At 50.7% G+C, this 21,186-nt stretch overlaps 1 protein-coding gene and 1 pseudogene across 1 annotated transcript in view; one reads left to right on the top strand and one right to left on the bottom strand.

Annotated features, from left to right (window-relative positions):
- TEX101 (testis expressed 101) overlaps positions 1-535 on the bottom strand; it is a 29,987-nt gene extending 29,452 nt beyond the window's left edge. Inside the window, exon 1 of the mRNA NM_031451.5 lies at positions 417-535. The gene's annotated coding sequence lies outside the window, so the exon portion shown is untranslated. The remainder of the gene's footprint in view (positions 1-416) is intronic.
- CD177P1 (CD177 molecule pseudogene 1) lies at positions 10,021-17,255 on the top strand (annotated as a pseudogene).

The following is a 21,186-nucleotide window of genomic DNA, read 5'->3' as shown; positions in this document are numbered from 1 at the left end:
GTTCCCGGCGGGAAGTCCTGGTGCAGATGCCCGTCCCAAGGTGGGTATTTGAGCTGAGGAACTGAGAAGCCGGTTTCTGCCTAGAGTTAGAGATCCGAGAGGCATCAGCACATGGAAGGGAGGGAAGCTACGATGCCTCGAGGGTGGGAGATCAGATGAACCAGGAGAGGCAGGGCCCGGGAGGAACCCCGGGGAGCAGCCGCCTTTAAAGCCTGGGGGAAGTAGCTTCAGAGAAGGTGGGGTAGGTTGGGTGGGGGTTGCTGGAAAAATATGATTAAGAAACAAATTTCTGCTCAGCCCAGAAACCCCCCTCACATCCATAGAAGTAAAAGAAACTTGTCTTATGACTGAGTAAGCATTAAGCCAAAATGTGATACAATCTGCTAAGAGATGACAAAGACAGAAAGAAATCCCACCTTTGTATCCAGCCAAGCAGGTGCAACCCGTTACACACATGGTCTCCAGATACACGGTGACTCGTTCCCAGTTGAGAGGACTCAACGGCACCATTTGTCACACATAGTTCATCCTAAATTCACCCAGTAACTGTGTTGATTCTCTGTGTGGTTAATTGGCTTTATCCACAGGAAAAACAAACCTCTCTTATCTATGACAGGAGGTAGTTTTGCAACTGGGAGTGAGATGCCCCCAGAACTGAGGTTCCTTCCTTCTCACAGAAACTGGGAGACAGGGGCGCTTTCTGCCCGGATGCCTGCCTTTCAAAGAGAGGGCTCCTATGGCCTTGAGGAGGACAGTTCTGGGTTGTGAGGCAGGCAAGATGCTTATGTATGCTTTAGAAAGCTTTACATACATCTTCAAGGGACAGAGAAAGAATTTTCAATTACACCTCTTCTAAAAAATAAATGCTCTCAAAGTCCAGCCTAGGCAACATAGCAAGATCCTATCTCCACACACACAATAACAATAATCAATTTGCTGGGCATAGTGGGGTATATGCGTGTAGTCCCAGCTACTCAGGAGGCTAAGGAGGGAGGATCACCTGAGCCCAGGAGGTTAAGGCTGCAGTAAGCTTGGATGGCACCACTGCACTCCAGCCTGGGTGACAGAGGGAGACTCTATCAATGAATGAATGAATGAATGAATGAATGAATGAAGAGAAAATGATCTGAGTGAAAAGAGGAGAGTCTCTATCTTTTTGCAACAGGCTAAACAAAATTTTTAAAAATGTATATTTGCCTCACAGAGATTATTCCAGGAAAAGAAGTGGCCCTCAGCGTCAAAGGATGCAAAACTAACCTGTGAGTTCCTGGCAGGTTTAGCAATAAAGCAGGATGTTGCTGATCTCAGTACAAGCAATGTTAGAGAAAGGGGAAGATGGAAGTGGACATGGATGAGTGAGTGGAAGGCGACAAATGGAAGCAAAGAAACGTATCCAGACCATTGAAGATGCTTGAGCGAGAAGAAAGAGGCGGTGGAGGGAATGGAATCCGGAGGAAGTCATTTGTTGCAATAAGAGGCCTCAGAGCACGTGTAGGGTGCGGGGCAGAGCCCATGCAGAGGGGCTGTGGAAGGCTGGTAGGGTGCAGGTGGCCCCACTCTCCATCACCCTGAGGAGTATGTGGTCAGAGTTAAAGCTCAGTCTGTTTCTGGGATCAGGTAAGAGGTCAGTGTCCAGAGAAGAGAGGTGGATCTTCAGATCCTGCAGACCTCCACCGCGCCCTCTGTCCCTCTTGACTGCTTTTTCTCCATCTCCATTGTCTGGCTCACATTCCTGTCACGTCTTCCTTTCTCCCTACCCCTCTTTTCTCTTTTCTCCTCTCTTTTTCTTAACCCTTGTACCTTTGGAAGTCCCACTAATAGAATTTAAACAGCTTTTCAAGTTGGTTTTTTGTTCCCAGAAATTGACTTTAGACTCTCCATGAATAATGTGGAAATCAAACGAGTATAAGCTGGTTCATGTCTCTGCAATTAAACAAATAAAATCTACATTCCAATGTTTCTTCTTCCAGAGTAGCCCACATTTGTTTTTTTTTTTTTTTAATTACTGTCACTTGCGATAGATTTTTAAATCTTGTAACCTGGTTACACAAATACCATGGGGCCAAAGACTGACTTCCTGTGAGAGGAAACCAGGCTTGACTAGCCTCATGCTGGCTTTGAAGAAGTAAAATCAGGGGTTGATGAATTTACATAGGGTAAATATCAAAGGTCGAAAGTCAACAATAGGTGGTAGAGGGAATACCCCAAATTACAAAAGAACAAACTGTTTAAGCCACAACAGAATTATCGTAGAAATAAACCACGGTCCTTCCTGCTAAAATATTCCACTTAGAATTGTAAAATATTCTTCTCAATAACTCCTGGAAGAGCCTATTAAGAAATTAAAGAGGCCGGGCGTGGTGGCTCACACCTCTAATTCCAGCACTTTGGAAGGCCGAGACAGGCAGATCACTTGAGTTTAGGAGTTTGAGACCAGCCTGGCCAATATGGTGAAACCCCGTCTCTACTAAAAAATACAAAAATTGCCCAGGCGTGGTGGCAGTCGCCTGTAATCCCAGCTACTCGGGAGGCTGAGGCAGGAGAATCACTTGAACCTGGGAGGCAGAAGTTGCAGTGAGCCGAGATTGTGCCATTGCACTCCAGCATGGGGGACAAGAGCGAGACTTCATCTCAAAAAAAAAAAAAAAAGAAAAAAGAGTCAACCTTGAGCCAGGCATCGTGGCTCACGCCTGTAATCTCAGCACTTTGGGAAACCGATGAAGTCAAGAGTTCGAGACCAGCCTGGGCAACATGCTAATACCCTGTCTCTACCAAAAATTTAAAAATTAGCTGGGTATGGTGGCTCATGCCTGTAATCCCAGCTATTTGGGAGGCTGAGGCACAAGGATGGCGTGAACCTGGAAGATGGAGCTTGCAGTGAGCCAAGATTGTGCCATTGCACTCCAGTCTGGAGTGCAAAAAAAAAAAAATCCGTCTCAAAAAAAGCACAAAAAGAATAAATATGGGGCCTCATGACTGTATATTACTGGGCTTCTGACCTAGACTGAAAGATCAGGGAAGACTTTCCTGAAGAGAAAGTGAGCTATGATGGGCCCACTGTACTCCAGCCTGGGCAACATAATGAGGCTCTGTCTCAAGAAAAACATGCAGAATAAAACCATAATAAGATACCACTACAGAACTATTAGAATGGCTAAGATTAAAAAGAGTGACCACGCCAAGTGTTGGCAAGGATGTGGAGGCACTGGAATGCTCACGCTGCTGGTGGGAATGTAAGATGGTACAACCACTATGGAAAGCAGTCTGGCAGCTTCTAAAAATTTCAGCATACACCCACCATGCCACTCGGCAATTCCATTCCATTCCCACATGATTTTTATTTAAAGGAAAATCAAGTGGAATGATCTTTAAAGCATTTTTGCCTGACAAATAGATGAAATGTGGGTAGCAGCCCAACACTCCCTGGTCAGTCTTCACAGGGCATATGTGGCCTTATGGCCCCCAGGAAATATGGCTCTTTCCACAAGTGCTATGTCCACTCTCTTCACCAATCCTAAGATGTTAGTTCCACAGCACTGCCAGCATTGGGCTTTGTCTATTTCTTTCTTTCTTTGTCTTTTTTGAGAGGGGGTCTTGCTCTGTCATCCAGGCTGAAGTGCAGTGATGCAATTTTGGCTCACTGCAAATTCCACTTCCCAGGCTCAAGAGATCATTCCACCTCAGCCTCCCAAGTACCTGGGACTACAGGTGCACACCACCATGCCTGGCTACTTTTTTGTATTTTTGGTAGGGACAGGGTTTCTCTATGTTGCCCAGGCTGGCCTGGAACTCCTGAGCTCGAGCGATCCACCCGCCTCGGCCTCCCAGAGTGTTGGGATGGCAGGCGTGAGCCACTGCTCCTGGAGTGGACTTTATTTATTTCTATTTCTATTTCCTTTTCCTGTGTGGTGAAGTGATTGAAAACCATGCCTTATTTTGCAGGAAGAGATGGAAGGCTAGAAAGAGGAAGTAAATTGTTCAGGTAATAGTGAAATGATAGCAGGTCTAGAATATCACTCTCTTTACTCAAAGCCCAGAATTTCCAAATATCACAACTTCCTTTCTCTTTATACACTTTAGGGATTTTATTTATTTATTTATTATTATTTTTTGCCAAAGTGGAACTCCAGGTCAAAGGACTTTGTTGGTCTAGTGTCAAATTAGCTTTCAAGGTGTTGATCTAATCCATGGGGCCACCAGCACTCAAGGATATAGGTGCACAGCAATGCCAGCCTCATGTTGTAATCCTTTTATTCATTTTTGCTCCTCTGGTCAGTACACGAAGGCCTGTAAAGATCCTTTCTTTTATTTTTGAGATGGAGTCTCACTCTGTCGCCCAGGCTGGAGTGCAATGGCACAATCTCAGCTCACTGCAACCTCCGCCCCCCGGGTTCAAGCCATTCTCCTGCCCCAGCCGAGTAGCTGGGATTACAGGCACATGCCATCATGCCCGGCTAAGTTTTGTATTTTTAGTAGAGACAGGGTTTCACCATGTTGGCCAGGCTGGTCTCAAACTCCTGACCTCAGGTGATCCACCCGCCTCTGCCTCCCAAAGTGCTGGGATTACAGGCATGAGACACCACACCCAGCCAGGCCTATGAAAATCTTTAAGTGTAACTTTTCATTAAGTGCCATAGATCCCTCCTCTTTATAACATAAAGTCCTGTAAACTGCATGCAGGTCAGTTTGCCATAGGAATAATTTGTCTTTGCTGGAACATGCTGGGTGCTTGGCAGATGAGGAGATTGGAAGTGAACCACTGAGATGACTGATGAGCGTCCTCAGCAGGCTGTGTTGCAGGGGGAAGAGTGCAGGTTGTTTATAAGGCCTGGGTCGTGCCCCTGGCCACCATTTCCTGGCTTTGTGACTCCAGCTTTACTTCTCCTTCCCAGGGCTCAGTTTTCCTCTCCTTGAAGGGGATGAGTGGAACCAGCTCTGGACGCTGAGCTGCCTGGGTGTAAAGGCTTCCTGTAATGGGCAGAAGAGTGGATAGGAGGGCAGCAGGGGAGCTGGACCAAAAACATTATGTGATTTGCCGTGATCACAGAGGATTTTCTGGAAGTAGCTTGGGCACAATGTGTGCAAGGAGACAGAAGGATCTCGTGGTGGGGAATAGGACATTCACACGGCCTCCTCCATGGCTTACCTCACACAGCAGTTGTTAATTAGCCAAGAATTTGACAAACAGGCATTAAAGGCCTTCTGAATGTGACACACCACACCCAGCTAGAAGAATATTGCCAAAAATCATTAAAACTACTCTAATCATAGTCTGAGTCAGGCACATCCAGGTGGTGGAAGACTTTACAAAAAAAAAAAAAAAGTGAACCATTGCTTTCAATGACATTAAAGAAAATGAAAGGCAGTTGGGGAGCACTCCTAGATTAAAGGGGAGTCCAGAGATGAGATGTAAACCAAAAGGTATCTGAGACAGGTCTCCATCAACTTAGAAGCTTATTTTGCCAAGGTTAAGGACATAGAAAAAAACCATGCAATCATAGAAACAGTCTGTGGTCTGTGCCTTTTTCCAAAGATAATTTTGAGGGCTTCAATATTTAGGGTGGAAAAGCTGGCTGGCGGTGAAAGAAGGAGGGTGTGGTCGCATTACTGAATCCACATGGTGTAAGAGAAAGCAGGAGGTAGGGGAATAATCAATCACGTATTCATCTCACGCTGGGTAAATTGGCACCTTGAGAAAGATAAGGTGAATATGGCCGGGCGTGGTGGCTCACACCTGTAATCCCAGCACTTTGAAAGGCTGAGGTGGGAGGATCTCATCAGCCCAGGAATTTGAGACCAGCATGGACAACATGGCAAAACCCATCTCTACAAAAACACAAAAATTAGCTGGGTGTGGTGGTGGGTGCCTGTAGTCCCAGCTACTCGGGAGGCTGAGGTGACAGAATGACTTGAGCCCGGGAGACAGAGGTCGCAGTGAGCGAAGATTGTGCCACTGCACCCCAGCCTGGGAGACAAAGTATGACACTGTCTCAAAAAAAATAATAATTAAAAAATTTTTTTAAAAAAGATAAGGTGAACATGGAGTAGCTACCTAAGGAAATACTTAGCCGTTTCTCTGTAGCTGTCTGCTTAGGAACAAAAGGAAAGGCAGTTTCTTGCATGACTCAGCTTCCAGTTTTTTTTTTTCCTTCTGTCACAGTGAATTGGGGTCCTGAGTTTTTGTTTCTCTTTCATAAAGACAACACAGTGCAGTTCATGCTTGACCCCGGATGTTCTCCTGATCAGAAAGCAAAAACGCAATGAGAGATGTCATTGGGACAACAGAGGAAAACTGGAAATGGGCTTCCTATTAGACAGCAGTGCATCTGTGTAAACTACACGGGTCTGATCCTGGTCTGTGGTTACGTAGGACAAAGTCCTTAAGAATAATCTATATAGGCTGGGCGTGGTGGCTCACATCTGTAATCCTAGCACTTTGGGAGGCCGAGGCAGGTGGATCACCTGAGGTCAAGAGCTCAGGACCAGCCTGGTCAACATGGTGAAACCCTGTCTCTACTATAAATACAAAAATTAGCCGGACGTGGTGGCAGGCGCCTGTAATCCCAGCTACTCAGGAGGCTGGGACAGGAGAATTGCTTGAACCCAGGGGGCGGAGGTTGCAGTGAGCAGAGATCACGACACTTCACTCCAGCTTGGGTGAGAGAGCAAAACTGCACCTAAAAAAAAGAGGGAAAGAGAAAAAAAGAATAATCTATACTTTTAGAAAAATTTTATTTATTTATTTTTTGTGATGGAGCCTGGCTCTGTCACCCAGGTTGGAGTGCAGTGGTGTGATCTAGGCTCACTGCTGCAACCTCCACCACCAGCTTCAAGTGATTCTCCTGCCTCAGCCTCCCAAGTAGCTGGGATTACAGTTGTGTGTCATCATGTCCAGATAATTTTTATATTTTAGTAGAGACGGGGTTTCACCATGTTGGTCAGGCTGGTCTTGAATTCCTGACTTAAAGTGATCCTTCCAAAGTGCTGGGATTACAGGTGTGAGTCACTGTGCCCAGCCCCCTTAAGAATAATCTTAAGAAGGTTTTTGCCGAAGCACTTAGTGGTGAGAGTTACAATGTCTACTCCTTGTTTTTAAAATTTAAGAATATTTTAAAAGCATGTGTCGTGTGCGTATAAACAAATACAGTAAAATGTGAAGAGTGGGTGAATCCAGTGAAGGGGATACTTGTGTTTACTGTACTATCCTTGCAGCTTTTCTGCAGGTTTGAAATTTTTCTTTCTTTTTTTTTGAGACGGAGTCTTACTCTGTCATCCAGGCTGGAGTGCAATGGCGCAATCTCGGCTCACTGCAACCTCTGCCTCTTGGGTTCAAGCGATTCTCCTGTCTCAGCCTCCGGAGTAGCTGGGACTACAGGTGGCTGCCACTACACCGGGCTAATTTTTGTATTTTTTTTTTTTAAGTAGAGATGGGGTTTCACCATGTTGTCCAGGTTGGTTTCAAACTCCTGACTTCAATAGATCCACCCGCCTTGACCTCCCAAAGTGCTAGGATTACTGGCGTGAGTCACCGTGCCCAGCCTGAAAGTTTTCAAAATGAAAACACCGCAGGTCAGGAGTTTGAGACCAGCCTGAACAACATGATGAAACCCTGTCTCTATTGAAAATACAAAAATTAGCTGGGCATGGTGGCGCATGCCTGTAATCCCAGCTACTCAGGAGGGTGAGGCAGGGGAATCTCTTGAACCCAGCAGGCAGAGGTTGCAGTGAGCTGAGATCATGCCACTGCACTCCAGCCTGGGTGACAGAACAAGACTCTGTCTTAAAAAAAAATTTAGGGAATAAAAAGAAATAGCTGGTGGAATGCTTTGAAGTTAGGTAGGATAGGAGGTCCTTGACCCTCCCTGACCCTCCTGTGTGGACCAGACCCTGTGTGAGGTCCTGTTCAGGAATTTGAGATTGAGAGACAGACGGAGACAGTCACAGCCCAGGTGATTAGTAGGACAGAGACAGAGGTAAGGATCAGAGCTGGGGAAACCCCCAGGGGAAATACTCATTTCGGATATCATGAAGAGAAGTCTCAGTGGGGAGAGTGTGTTTTCAAGAGTATCTTCATGGAGGAAATATTTGTACTCAACAGGGGAGTCTTTATCTCCATGGAAAAAGCCCCACCCAGGTGCTCCAGAATCTGGCTTTGTCCTTGGTAGGTAAACATTGGAAGCAAATTCTGGCACTCTCTGGGCTTCTCAAACTTAGGGAACACGTTGGCTGCTCAAGAAGGAGAAACAAAAGGAACAAAAAGAAACAGAGAGCCCTTGGACTGCTTTGAGGACACATGGGATCAGAGGTTCTTGTCCCTCCCAACCCCTCTCTCCCCGCAAGCAGGGGGCTGAGGGGCCCAGACTTGATTCTAGCTTGACCACAGCTTGACTCAGAGATCTTGGTCAAGCTCATTCCCCTCTCTCAGCTCCTGCATCCTCTTCTACAAGACCAAGATGAGGAAGGAATTTCTGCGATTGTTGCACCTAACAGCAAAGAAAAGAGAAGAAAAAAAAACAGAAAACCCAGTACCGGCAGTGCTGCAGGTGAATGCCTTGGAGCTGTTAACTGGGGCGCTCTGTGGCATCAGTAATAACAGTTGTGTTTATCATTGTTTTTACTCTGTTCACGTTATGAAATTAAGTGACACACATGCATCCAGGCATGGTGTAGTGGTTAGGAACTGGCCCCTGGAATCCAGTGTGTCTCCAGCTCTGGAGTGGATAAGGCATATCCTACCCACATCCCCTTGGCCAGCTGGTGTTGGCTGAAAACATCTCACAGGTGCCCCTTCTCTAGAGAATTGCCCTTGAACAATGGGAGACCCTTGCCACAGGGACAGCACCCTCTTTACCTCTTCAGCTCCCTCCCACCCTCGCTCGCTATCGTGCCCCTCGCTCGCTCCATCCCTCCCCTGACTGCTCCCTGGCAGCCGCCCCGCCCCCCTTCCTTTCCATCCCTCCCCACTCACTCCCGATCCCTCCCACCGACCTCGGCCACCCGGGAATCCCCGCACCCCTCCTCTTCTAAGAGCAAACAGGACGGATTTCTGATATGAAATTACCATTAACTGGGTTATCCTGCATTCCTTTTCTATTCTGTTGCGTTTGGTTCAAGAAGTTCTCCTGCAGGGTTTTTGCTGTTTCCTCTTCCTAAGGGAGACTGAACTGTAACTTTCCACTTTCCTTGTCTGGTGTTATAAAGAGTCTAGGGAGATATTTTGCGCTTCTTTTATTGGAACAGCTTGTGAACACAGAAGTCTCCTGTTCTTGGAGGCTTAGTAGCACTTGCAGGTGAAGGCACTGGCTCGTTCCAGGGCACCCCCTCATTCCCTTGACCAATGAGTCTGCTTCTGTGTCTCCCCTCGGAAGGCCAGACTTTGTTGAAAGGTTCAGACTTGACCATGTCTGAGTCTACATTTGGCCTCAGCAGGCCCCTCCTCCACCCTGCCCACCCCCCACCCCCACTTGCCCCCCAAGACCCCTCCCTTTTTTTTTTCTGAGAAAGCGTCTCGCTGTGTTGACCAGGCTAGAGTGCAGTGGCGCAATCTCGGCTCACTGCAACCTCCGACTCCCAGGTTCAAGCGATTCTCCTGCCTCAGCGTCCCAAGTAGCTGGAACTGGAGGAGCCCACCACCACGCCCGGCTAATTTTTGTATTTTTAGTAGAGACAGAGTTTCACTATGTTGGCCAGGCTGGTCTTGAATTCCTGACCTCGTGATCCATCTGCCTCAGCCTCCCAAAGTGCTGGGATTACAGGTGTGAGCCACCACACCCAGCCAAGACCACTTTCTGTACCCAGCCCTGGGTGCCTCTACCCAGACCTCCTGATCTCTCTGCCTTCCTCTTTCATGGGTTACACTTATTTTCCCACATCCAGATCCCATGATGGGAGCTGCAGAAGGCCCCTTTGGGAAGGCTGAGCAGGTTGACTCCTGAGGCCAGCAAAAGTGGGGTGCAGAGAAGGTATCTGATCAAATCCAGTGCCGTCTCAGTGCCCCCTCACTCTGTCTGTCACTTCCCTAGACCCAGGATCCTTGAGGTGCCCAGTCTGCTTGTCTATGGAAGGCTGTCTGGAGGGGACAACAGAAGAGATCTGCCCCAAGGGGACCACACACTGTTATGATGGCCTCCTCAGGCTCAGGGGAGGTAAGCCTGGGACATCGGGGTCCCTGCGGGGACTGAACTGGAAGGTCTGGGGACTGAGATCTTAGTCTTTGGGGAGTGAGGGTGAGCTGAGGCACGGCATGAGACCCAGAGGATGGTGGGCCTGGCTTCCTGGAGCTATGCCTGCCTCTGAGGGTTGGGTGGTCCTGGAGGCAGCATCACTGACTCTCCCTCGCTCCCCCTTTCTGCAGGAGGCATCTTCTCCAATCTGAGAGTCCAGGGATGCATGCCCCAGCCAGTTTGCAACCTGCTCAATGGGACACAGGAAATTGGGCCCGTGGGTATGACTGAGAACTGCGATATGAAAGGTGAGTCCTGCCCCTAGGCTGTGCCCTGGACTGCAGCCTCGGGGCACGATGACACATGGGGCATCCAGAGCCATCACACCAAAGCCAGCAGGAGGAAGGTCAAGGGTGCAGGGTGGGTTGCTTGGCATGTGGCTTTAGGCAACAGTGAGTGCTGGGGCCCCTGCTGGCTCTCAAGCTGCTGAGAGTGACTGGTTGCTTCAATTTCTGTGTCTCCACACCCCTGGCCTTGGGTAACCCTAGGTCTCCCACTTCCCTAGGCCACCGTAGCCTCTCTCCCACCCGTATCAGCCCCCGCCCCGCTCATGGTGCTGGAGTGCCCCAGCAGCCTTGCCTGCACAGGAGAGAACATCAGAGAGAAAATCAAGGGGACTTTGGGTGTGACAGAGAAAGCAAGAGTTAAAGGAGGACACTGAGAGGGTCCCCACTTACCCATTTAGGTGCTGCCATGGAAGAGAGTGCCAGGGAATGTCTCCATAAGAAGGGCTCCAAAGCAACAGGAAGCCATGGTGGGGAGGTGGGGGTCTTATAGGAATCCCAGCTTCCCTCCTAGAAGCAAAGTCTTCCCTGCCCCTGCCTCAGTTTCCTTGTCTGCCCACATCACGCTAACCCTTAGAGCTTAGAAGAGAGAGTTGTGTGAGCTCTGCACACATTCCTCTGTGTATTTGGCTGTTTCTCCCTAGCTAGGCTGGGAGCCTGAGGCTAGGGGCTTGGTACCACTGGCACCAGGGTTTCCAGCCTTGGGTAGCTCAGGAGACGGCTCAGGAAGGGTACCAGGAGGTGTTTGCTCAAGTGAGGACATGCAGGGCTCACTTGAGCAAAGCTCCCTCATGAGTCAGACCCTGTTTCTACCTGAAGGGCCTCCAGGACTAGGAGGGGGAGGTGCTACAGACACAGATGGTCACAGCTTGAGGTGATCAGGGCTGTGGCAAACGGGGATGTGGGGCCTGGGGCAGCTCAGAGGAGGAAAATACTGATGTTGTTGGGGTAGAGAGTCAAGGAGGGCTTTACAGAGGAGGTGGCCTGTGAACCGTGTGTTAAAGATGACCTACAGCTTATTGGTAGAAGAGGAAGAGGACATTGGTGGCAGAGGGAACAGTGTGTAGCAGCTGCATAGGCCTGGAGGTGGGAGTGAGCCTGCTGTTTTCAAGAAGAGTCCCTCACTCCACCTGAGAAGGACTCATCAAGATGAGGGGGTACAGCTGGGATTGGGGGTGATTCGAAGTTTTCCAGGTGGACAAGGTGGGTGTGGGGTCGAAGAGGGAGCTGCTCCAAGCCAAAGGCACAGCAGGTGTGAGGCTGAGGAGGAAATGAACTGGCATGCCTTCAGAATGGATACTGGTGGGGGAGGAAGAGTTAAGTGGGGAACCTGGTGGTCGCTCAAGTACCTGAAAACCCAGGCTGAGGGGTGGACCCTCTCCTGAAGGCAGGGGAGCCATGGAAGATTGTGGAGCAGGGAGGGCAGGGTCTGAGCCATTTATCTTTCCTTTTGACTGATGCTGCTGTTAAGGATCTGGCCCTGGTCTCTGGGACCAGATGACACTGATAACCCAGAAGGTATTTCAGAAACAAATCAGACGCAACACATGCCACACACACAGCCCACAATAAGCACAGCAGACACGAATGCGTCACACCATGACACATACACACCACACATCACATACCACACACACACTCCCCCATACCCCTGACATACCACCTATGGAACACAAATCACACACAGAGCACACAATATGCACAACACACACAAATGCATCACACGAGTGCACAATTACTACGTGTACATGTAGTGTGTATGCCACATACTACACGTCAGGTACCACACACACTCTCCCTCTCAACATATCAGACATGCAATACATACCACACACAACACACAATACACACAACACATCTGGCATGCCACACACACCACATGCAAGCAAAACACAGATACACAGAACACACACCACACCAAACACACAAAACAAACACATACCACATATATCACACACAGTATGTCTACACATGCACGCACCACACAAACATACCATGAACACACCACACACCCCATACAACCACACCCCCCACATGTATACTACGCACTCACACACAGCACACATACCTGCACACATCACGCATGTGCACACACTACACAAACGCACCACATAAAACACAGCGACTATGCACCAATCAGTGCTGTTCATAGAGATTCATCTTCTGCTTTCAACACTGGAGCCAGATCTTGCAGGCTGTTTTGCCTCCCTGGTGAAGTGCAGTTCAGCAGTTTAGCAGACAGTGAGCATCACAAGACCAGGCATCAGAAACTGGGGGAACAACAAGACGTTGGGGACCAAGTGCAGGAGAGAAGAGGCTTCAGGGTGATGGAACCGCTTATAAGAAGCCGCAGCAGTGGGAGGGCTGGGTGCAAGGATGCAGGTTACTAAAAGGGGCCATGGCAGCAGCCCCTTGTGAAGAACCAAGGGGCCCGGGCAGATAAGGCCCTGGCTGCCCCTAGAGGAGCTGGGCAGCGGTCCCAGTGAGAGAGCAGGGAAGAGCCCACGTCTGAATCAGGGACACGTGGGTCCCAGGCCCAGCTCTGCCGCCGAAACAGCTTTCCAGCCTCAGCTTCACACGAGGATCAAAAGTCTCCATATCTCATGGAGCCTCTTTCCCTGGATTTGGGGAAGAGGAGGGGATGGTTGCAGACATGGGACGGAAGCAGATGCAAAGACCATGATGTGGGTGAGTGCCTGCCAGAAACACCTGTGCGGAGCAGAGTGATGGAGGGAGCAGGGAGGCGGCCGCGTCTTATCAGGCCTCCCGGGCCATTGGAAGGGCTTAGAATTTTATTCTCCAGAATGGGGACCTCCTGGAGTCTTCGGAGCAGAGGAGTGACATGAACTGACTTAGGTTTACCTAGCCTCCCTCTGCCTGCTGGGTGGAGAATGGAGCGAGAGGAACAGTGACAGGCGGGTGCAGGGATTGCCCCAGGAGTCAGGTGGGAGTGAAGCGGGGGGCTTGGAGGCAGCAGAGGTGGTGACGTGGGGTTGGGTTTTGAAGATTTTCTGCAGCTCAAGCCAGTAGGATTACTTGAGGAACACAATGTGGGAGAGAAAGAGCGTGGTCAAGGACAACACCAATGTGTTCAGCTAGACTGGCAGAAACGAGCCGCCACGGGTGTAAGTAGGGGAGATGGGAGTGGGGAGAGAAGGGTGGGAGAAGGGAGCAGGAGCCATGATTTTGATTTTGTCATCTGTGAAGTATGCAAATGAGCAGCCCTCCAGGGTGGCATCGGTTCTGCAGGTCGCATGTGTTGGTGGAAGCTGGGGGCTCAGTCTAAGAGTCCCTGCATCATGGGACCGATCCCCCCTGCTCTGTGATGGCCGTGAGGGGAGGCCAGGGGCTGTGGTTTCACACTAGAGCCTTGAGGGCCTCGGGGCCAAGGTAGCCGAGGATGGTCTTCAGTACCTGTCTCCCTCCTGCTCCCAACCCCGACCCTGAGGGTCCAGAGTCCCTGGGTTCCCAGCCTACCTCTGCCACTCACAAGCTGTGTGGCATGGGCAGCTACTGAGCAATCCTGCCTCTGTTTCCCTTGTTGCAAATGAGGGTGTTGATTGTGATCACACCACCTACTGCTGGGGTGCTGTGGGGAAATGAGGCATCCCAGATAAGCTGTGTTCCCTGGAACCTTAGATGGGTGGATCTGTGGGAAGCAATGAGGTCAGCCAGGTGCAGAGGCAGTGCTCAGCGGCAGTGCTCAGCCCACCCTGGCCCTTCGCATCTTGTTTGGAACATAGGGCTTTGCAACTGAAAGGTATGAGAAAGGTCTCAGGCTGCCTTCCTTATTATTGAAATGAGGACCTTAAAGCTCAGATGGGGAAGCAGAGATGGGCAGAGGCTCAGGAAGAGCTTCCATTGCTCTCACAGCTGAAGCAAGGAATGGCTGTTCTCACAGGGCTGTGAGAGGACGTCCCTGCGGGTGTTCAAGCAGAAACAGGGAACAATGGGGGTGGGGTTTGGACTCCCAAGTCCCTTCTGAATCCGTGGTTGAGGGACTCCGTGGCCAGGTCACCTGGAGTGTGACTCAAGAGCATGATCACCTTCCCTAGCCCAGGACGTGGAGGGACAGACATGGTGGGTTCCTGGCTTACACAGACCCTGGGTTTCCTCTCCCCAGATGTTCTGACCTGTCATCGGGGGACCACCTTGAAGAAGCAGGAAAACTTGAGTAAAGAACCCACTGATTGGGCCACATCTAATACCGAGACGTGCGAGGTGGGGCAGGTGTGTCAGGAGATGCTGCTGCTCATAGATGTAGGTACGTGGACTGAGGTAGAAGACGAACACCTGTCCCAAGTCCCTGGCAGCTCCCTCCACCCCACTGGATTCTTTCCCCTGAATTTCCTGCTCAGCTCCCTTCACATCTGCAATTTTCAATCCGACTCTTCTTCTCTCTGCATCTTGGGTTCCCCTTATGAAAACTGGGGGTGAAGCAGTGGGAATGACAGTGTCTGCCTTTCTGGGGAGGGGTGACCACGTATGCGGTAATCCCTGCCCAGGGTGGAGAACCGTGCCAACACCGAGGACTCTCAGTGGCTTCATACATTCTGGAAATGTTTATCCAGCATTTGTTTTAGGTGCCGCAGATCCAATCCCATCTGTATTCCTGCAGCTTTATATGCCTTGAGAAACAGGAAACAAACAAACAAAAAGCAGCAAAGTATGGGGAATGGAGATCCCAGCTCTGGAGAGAAATCTGGCAAGGAAAAGGAGATAGGAAAAGTGAGGGGAAGGCTGCAATTTTAAGCTCAGTGCTCAGGGGAGACTCATGGAGAAGGTGACGTTTGAGCGAGAACTGGGAGGAGGCAGAGCTTCGGGCAGGACCCAGGCCCCAGCCTCCGTCTTTGCCCCACACTAAACATGACCCAGCAGTTGTGATCAGGGCATTCACCCTCTGCCTGGGGGGTATTGTGAAGGGCAGGGAGTCCAGCTCTGGAGCCCCTGCTGCCCTGGGAGCTGCCCAGTCCCCAGCCCAGCTTTCCCTCTCACCCTCAGGACTCACATCAACCCTGGTGGCGACCTAAAGCTGCAGCGCTGTTGGGGCTCAAAATTCCCAGAAGACCACCATCCACTCAGCCCCTCCTGGGGTGCTTGTGGCCTCCTATACCCACTTCTGCTCCTCGGACCTGTGCAATAGTGCCAGCAGCAGCAGCGTTCTGCTGAACTCCCTCCCTCCTCAAGGTATGGGATCCAGGGCCGTGGAGAAATGAGGCCCAGACACACAGAGACTCTGGCCCAAGGTGGGCAGCTGCTCTGAGCACAAAGTCATGTACCCCCACCTTCCCTCTGCTCCCCAGCTGCCCCTGTCCCAGGAGACCGGCAGTGTCCTACCTGTGTGCAGCCCCTTGGAACCTGTTCAAGTGGCTCCCCCCGAATGACCTGCCCCAGGGGCGCCACTCATTGTTATGATGGGTACATTCATCTCTCAGGAGGTGAGTGCTGCAAGCAGGGCCCCAAGGATGAAGGCGCTGGTGTCCTGGGCTCCTGGGACTGAGGGAGAAGGGGCTGGGGGCCTGGACTCCTGGGTCTGAGGTAGGAGGGGCTGGGGGTCTGAGCTCCTGCGTTTGAGGGAGGAGGGTCTGGGGCCTGGACTCCTGGGTTTATGAATTTGGCTGGGCTGTACTCTGTGTCCTTTCTGACTTGGTCTTCTCCCTCTAGGTGGGCTGACCACCAGAATGAGCATTCAGGGCTGTGTGGCCCAACCTTCCAGCTCCTTGTTGAACCACACCAGACAAATTGGGATCTTCTCTGTGTGTGAGAAGGGTGATGAGCCGCCTCCTGCCTCTCAGCATGAGGGAGGTGGGGCTGGGGGCCTGGAGTGTCTCACTTGGGGGGTGGGGCTGGCACTGGCCCCAGCGCTGTGGTGGGGAGCGGTTTGCCCTTCCTGCTAACTCCATTTCCCCCACGATTCTTCACCGCTGCTCACCACCACACTCAACCGTCCCTTGTGCTTGTAACCTAATGGCCTTGGACACCAGATTATTTCCCCATCCTGTCCATGAATCATCTTCCCCACACATAATCATTCATATCTACTCACCTAATAGCAACACTGGGGAGAGCCTGGAGCAGCCGGACTTGCCCTGTGGGAGAGGGGACACTGGAGGAGTGGCTGCATGTGTCTGATAATAAAGACCCTGTGCTTTCTCCCAGTGCTGGGATTTCTCCATGTAAGGGGACAGCAGGACGCCCAGGGATCTAGCATGGTGGAGGAGAGGAACCTAATGAGAAAATGGCCATCCAAAGCCTGCCCTTCATTGGTCTGGTTCATGTCTCCAAACCAGCTTGGATGGTAGCAGAGACTTCAGGGTGCTCCAGCCAAACGTATTTGGGCATCACCATGACCTGGGAGGGGAAGATGCACTGAGATGTATGAGGCTTCCAGCCTAGCAGCCAGGGCCCTAGCACAAACAGGGGGCTGGCCCCATCTGAGCGACTGCAGGAGAGGTTAGTATAGTCATGCATTGCTTTACGACAGGGACGTGTCGTTAGAAATGTGTCGTTAGGTGATTTTATCACGAAAGGAACATTGTAGAGTGCACTTACACCAACCCAGATGGTACAGCCCAATACACACCCAGGATGGATGGTAGAGTTGACTGCTCCTAGGCTACAAGCCTGCAGTGCATGTTATGGTGTGAATACTGCAGGCATCGTAACACCACGGCAAGTATTTGTGCATCTATACACATCTAAACATAGAAAAGGTACAGCATAAATACACTATTGTCATCTCAGGAGACCACCGTTCTATACGCAATTCGTCACTGACCCAAACGTTGCTATGTAGCATCTGCCTATTGTGGGATAATTGACATAAGGGCTAAAGAGAACTCCAGAAAAAAATGGGTTAGCATTTTCCCAGAGCTGTTACCATTGGGTATCTCTTACCACCATAGCCCAAAAAGGGTGAGGAGAAGAGCCACTGCTGGAATCTGCAGACAGAGAGAGAGAGAGAGAGAGAGACATAGACAGAAAGAGACAGAGAGAGCTGGAGAGAGAGCCGGAGACAGAAAGAGAGAGATATTCAGAGAGGGTTGCCTAACAAGAGCTCCCATCTCAGGCTGAAAAACGCGTCCAGCCCGCAATGATACTGGGGAGGGAAGTGGGGAACTAAAATTCCAAACTGATGTCCTCACTCTGGTCTCCAGTTGAGGTTCCCCATTGACTGAACCCCCTAGAGGCCACAGAAGCAGGAGACTCCACTGGTCCAGCCCCCATAGATCTGCCATTCACAGTAGAGAACAGAGGAGAGGAAAGGGAAGAGGAGAAGAGAGTGAATCTGGAGAAGGAAACAGAACACGTCTAGCACCGTTCACTCCCTTGCCCCTCGGCATCCACCCTTTCCCTTTGTCCAGATGAAAATCAGAGTCCAGGACAGGCTCGGTGGCTCACGCCTGTAATGCCAGCACTTTGGGAAGCTGAGGTGGGAGGATCACTCGAGCCCAGGAGTTTGAGACCAGCCTGGGCAACATAGTGAAACTGCTTCTCTACAAAAAATACAAAAAATTAGCCGGGTGTGGTGGTGCGTGCCTGTCTGTAGTCCCAGTACTTTGGGAGGCCGAGGCGGGCAGATCATGAGGTCAGGAGATTGAGACCATCCTGGCTAATACCGTGAAATCCAGTCTCCACTAAGACAACAAAAAATTAGCCGGGTGTGGTGGTGCACGCCTGTGGTCCCAGCTACTGAGAAGGCTGAGTCCAGAAGGTCAAGGCTGCAGTGAGCCAAGACTGCACCACTGCACTCCAGCCTGGGGGACAGAGCGAGACCCTGTCTCAAGGGGGAAAAAATAATCAGAGTCCTCCGTACAGACGACACACAATTCCAGTCCTTCCCTCTGTCACAGTAACAGTGTGTGATGGTGACAGTGATGTCCTCCTCCCATTGTGCTGTGCACCAGTTCTTCGCCCACAATGAGAGGAAGATGGGGAAGAGATGGCTTCCAATACAGCTGCTGAGGTCCTGGGGGCGGGGCTGCTGGTGCTCAGAGCTGCTTTCTTCCAGTACATTCCACATTGTCCTCCCACCTCCAAAACCTCCTTTGGATGTTATTTGTTACCTGCAGTGTAACCCAAATCTTGATTCTTATGGAGAGTGAGTCTTGGATGGCCTTGTCTTTAGTGGGTTTCTATAGTTTTCCATGGAACAGGGCCCTGGCCAAGGAAATGTTACCGCCATGAGTTGCCTGCCTTCGAAAATAGCCTCCTTGTCCCAGCCACCCGACCTCCCTCTGTAATCAGATGCCATTCCCCCGACTGCAGAGTGACGTCTCCTTTGCCTGCTGTTTTGGCAGCACAAGGGGCACAGGATGGCTGGAGGGCTGTCATGGCTTCCTGCAGATCAGAACTAGGAAGAGATTCCTCATCCACAGCAGCCCAGGGCCACGGGGACAAAGAGCAAGCATTCTCTCAGTGGGCTGGCAGGTGCAGTCACGGGAGGGAGCCGCGCTTATTCTTCCTGTCTTTCCTGGATCTTTGCATCTGGCCCTGGGGCGCGTGACCCGATAGCCTGGTTGCTGGTTTATAAGATGTGTGGCCCCTCCTGTGGGTGGTGGGGTACGGTCTCCCTCCCGGTGCCCTGATAAGCCACACATGAGCCATTGCGCCAATCTGAGAAGCAGCTGTGTCTGTATAGAGGGGCACCTGAGACGGTCAGTGGGTTCCATGGGTGTGAGTTAATTACCCCCCATTCTTTGCGTTAACACGTGTCCCCAGTGGAAGCAACCCTGCATGGGTTCCAGAGCCACAGGAAAGGCGCTGTTCACAGAAGCACTGAGCAGGGTCCAGGGAAGGCCAACTGGAACCCCCAGTGTGTGCGTATCCGTGTGAGGACAAAGCCCAGTCCCCTCCAGGATGGGACGTGTCCTGTGTGGCCAGCCTATCTGCAGTGGCCGGGTAGTCCTCCTGTAAAATGACGCCTTCCAGGGGCTTAGCCCCGGGCTCTGCCTACACTGGGCAGGGCTGGGTACAGTGTGCAGCCAGGCCAGTGCTGGGAGACTCAGTCCACTTGTGGTAAGGTACGTCGCCGTCCTCCCTATCCATGTGGCCATCTGCACCTGGACCCCCTGAACAAGCTCTGAGGGACAGAGTCTGCCTGACACCATCCACCAAACACCAAGAACCTCATCCCCACAGCACAGGTTCTGGGCTTAAGGGTGGGGACGGCATAGCTCACACTTTGTGCCCATCCCCAGAGGAACATCCATGTGTCCTCCCTGTCTTAAGTTTACTCTTTTATTCTCTTCAAGTCCTTGACCATGTGGCCCGCTCTGGGTTCATGCAATGGACCCAAGTCCATCCCTCCTTGCAGAACCCCTGAGGTTCTGCCCATCTGAAGGATTTCCCTTCATCACTCCTCAGGACCACCTGAAGTGGGCACTAAGGCAGCCGCCGTCCACTTCTGCTGGGCGCCAGCTCACCGTGAGGACCCATCCATAAGCCTGGTCTGCACTTTCCTCCTCTGTATGAGGTCACAGGGCTTCCCAGGAGCTCACAGATGTGGTAGAGGGAGGGGCAGGAGGACAGGTGCCATGGGAGCCTGAGTCACTTGCAGTCGGGGGAACGGCATCTCATTACAGAGGGAGGTCAGGTGGCTGGGACAAGGAGGCTATTTTCGACCTTTGGGAATTACAGCTGAACGTGAGATTTGTGTTCGGACAGAGGAAAGCCATATCATTTGGCTTGTTTACACCTTTGGCTAGTGTGAATAATGCTGCTATGAACAAAGACATGCAGATACCTGCTGGGGCCCCTGCTCTCAGTTCTTTTCAGAATACACCAGAAGTAGAATTGCTGCATCGTGTGGTAAGTCTATGATTAATTTTTTGAGAAATGACCACAGTGGTTGTGCCATATTATATACCCACAAACACTGCACAAGCATTCCAATTTCTCCTCGCCAACACTTTGTTTTTTTTTTTTTTTTTTTTTTCAGAACTGCCATCAGAACAGATGTAAGGTGGTATCTCACTGTGGTTTTGATTTCCATTTTCCTAATGATAAGTGATGTTGACCAAATTTTATTTGCTTATTGGCCATTTATAAATTCATTTTACATTTCCTCCTTTGTAATGCCAGAGGTGGCACACTGTGCACTGTTCTGCTTCTTGTTTTTCTCACTGTGCAGTGTATCTTGGAAGTCTTTCCAAGTGGGTCGACAGAAGGATACTTCAATAAAAATGGGCAACACCGCTGGACAGCCATCAGAGCCATGAAGTCCCTGGCTTAGGGGAAGGCAGAAGGAGGGTGAGAAACAGAGAGATCGAGAAAGGCAGAGAGAGAATGGGGGCAGGGATGGAGAGAGAAAGAGAAAATGATAAAGACCCAGAGAGAGACAGAGTCAGAGATATATGGGGGTGGAGAGGGGAGATACAGAGAGAGGCAGAGAGGAAAGGGTACAGAGACACTAACACAGAGAGATGGAGGGAGGGGAGAGGCATGGACAGAGGGAGAACTCAGAGAGTCAGAGCCAGAGAAGTAAAAGGTGTGCCGTAGAGAGACACAGGGCAGGACTAGGGTGAGACAAGAGAGGACCCAAGCTTGTGGATCCTTGATTAAAAATCAATGGTGTTATAATAAGAAAGAAAAAGGAAAGAAAGAAAGAAAGAAAGAAGGAAGGAAGGAAGGAAGGAAGAAAGGAAGGAAGGGACCAAGTGAGAGGGAGACAAAGACAG

This window comes from Homo sapiens, chromosome 19, assembly GCF_000001405.40.
Source record: "Homo sapiens chromosome 19, GRCh38.p14 Primary Assembly".
NCBI lineage: Eukaryota > Metazoa > Chordata > Mammalia > Primates > Hominidae > Homo > Homo sapiens.
Note: the sequence above shows the minus strand (reverse complement) of the source record. Positions and strands in the feature narration are given on the sequence as shown.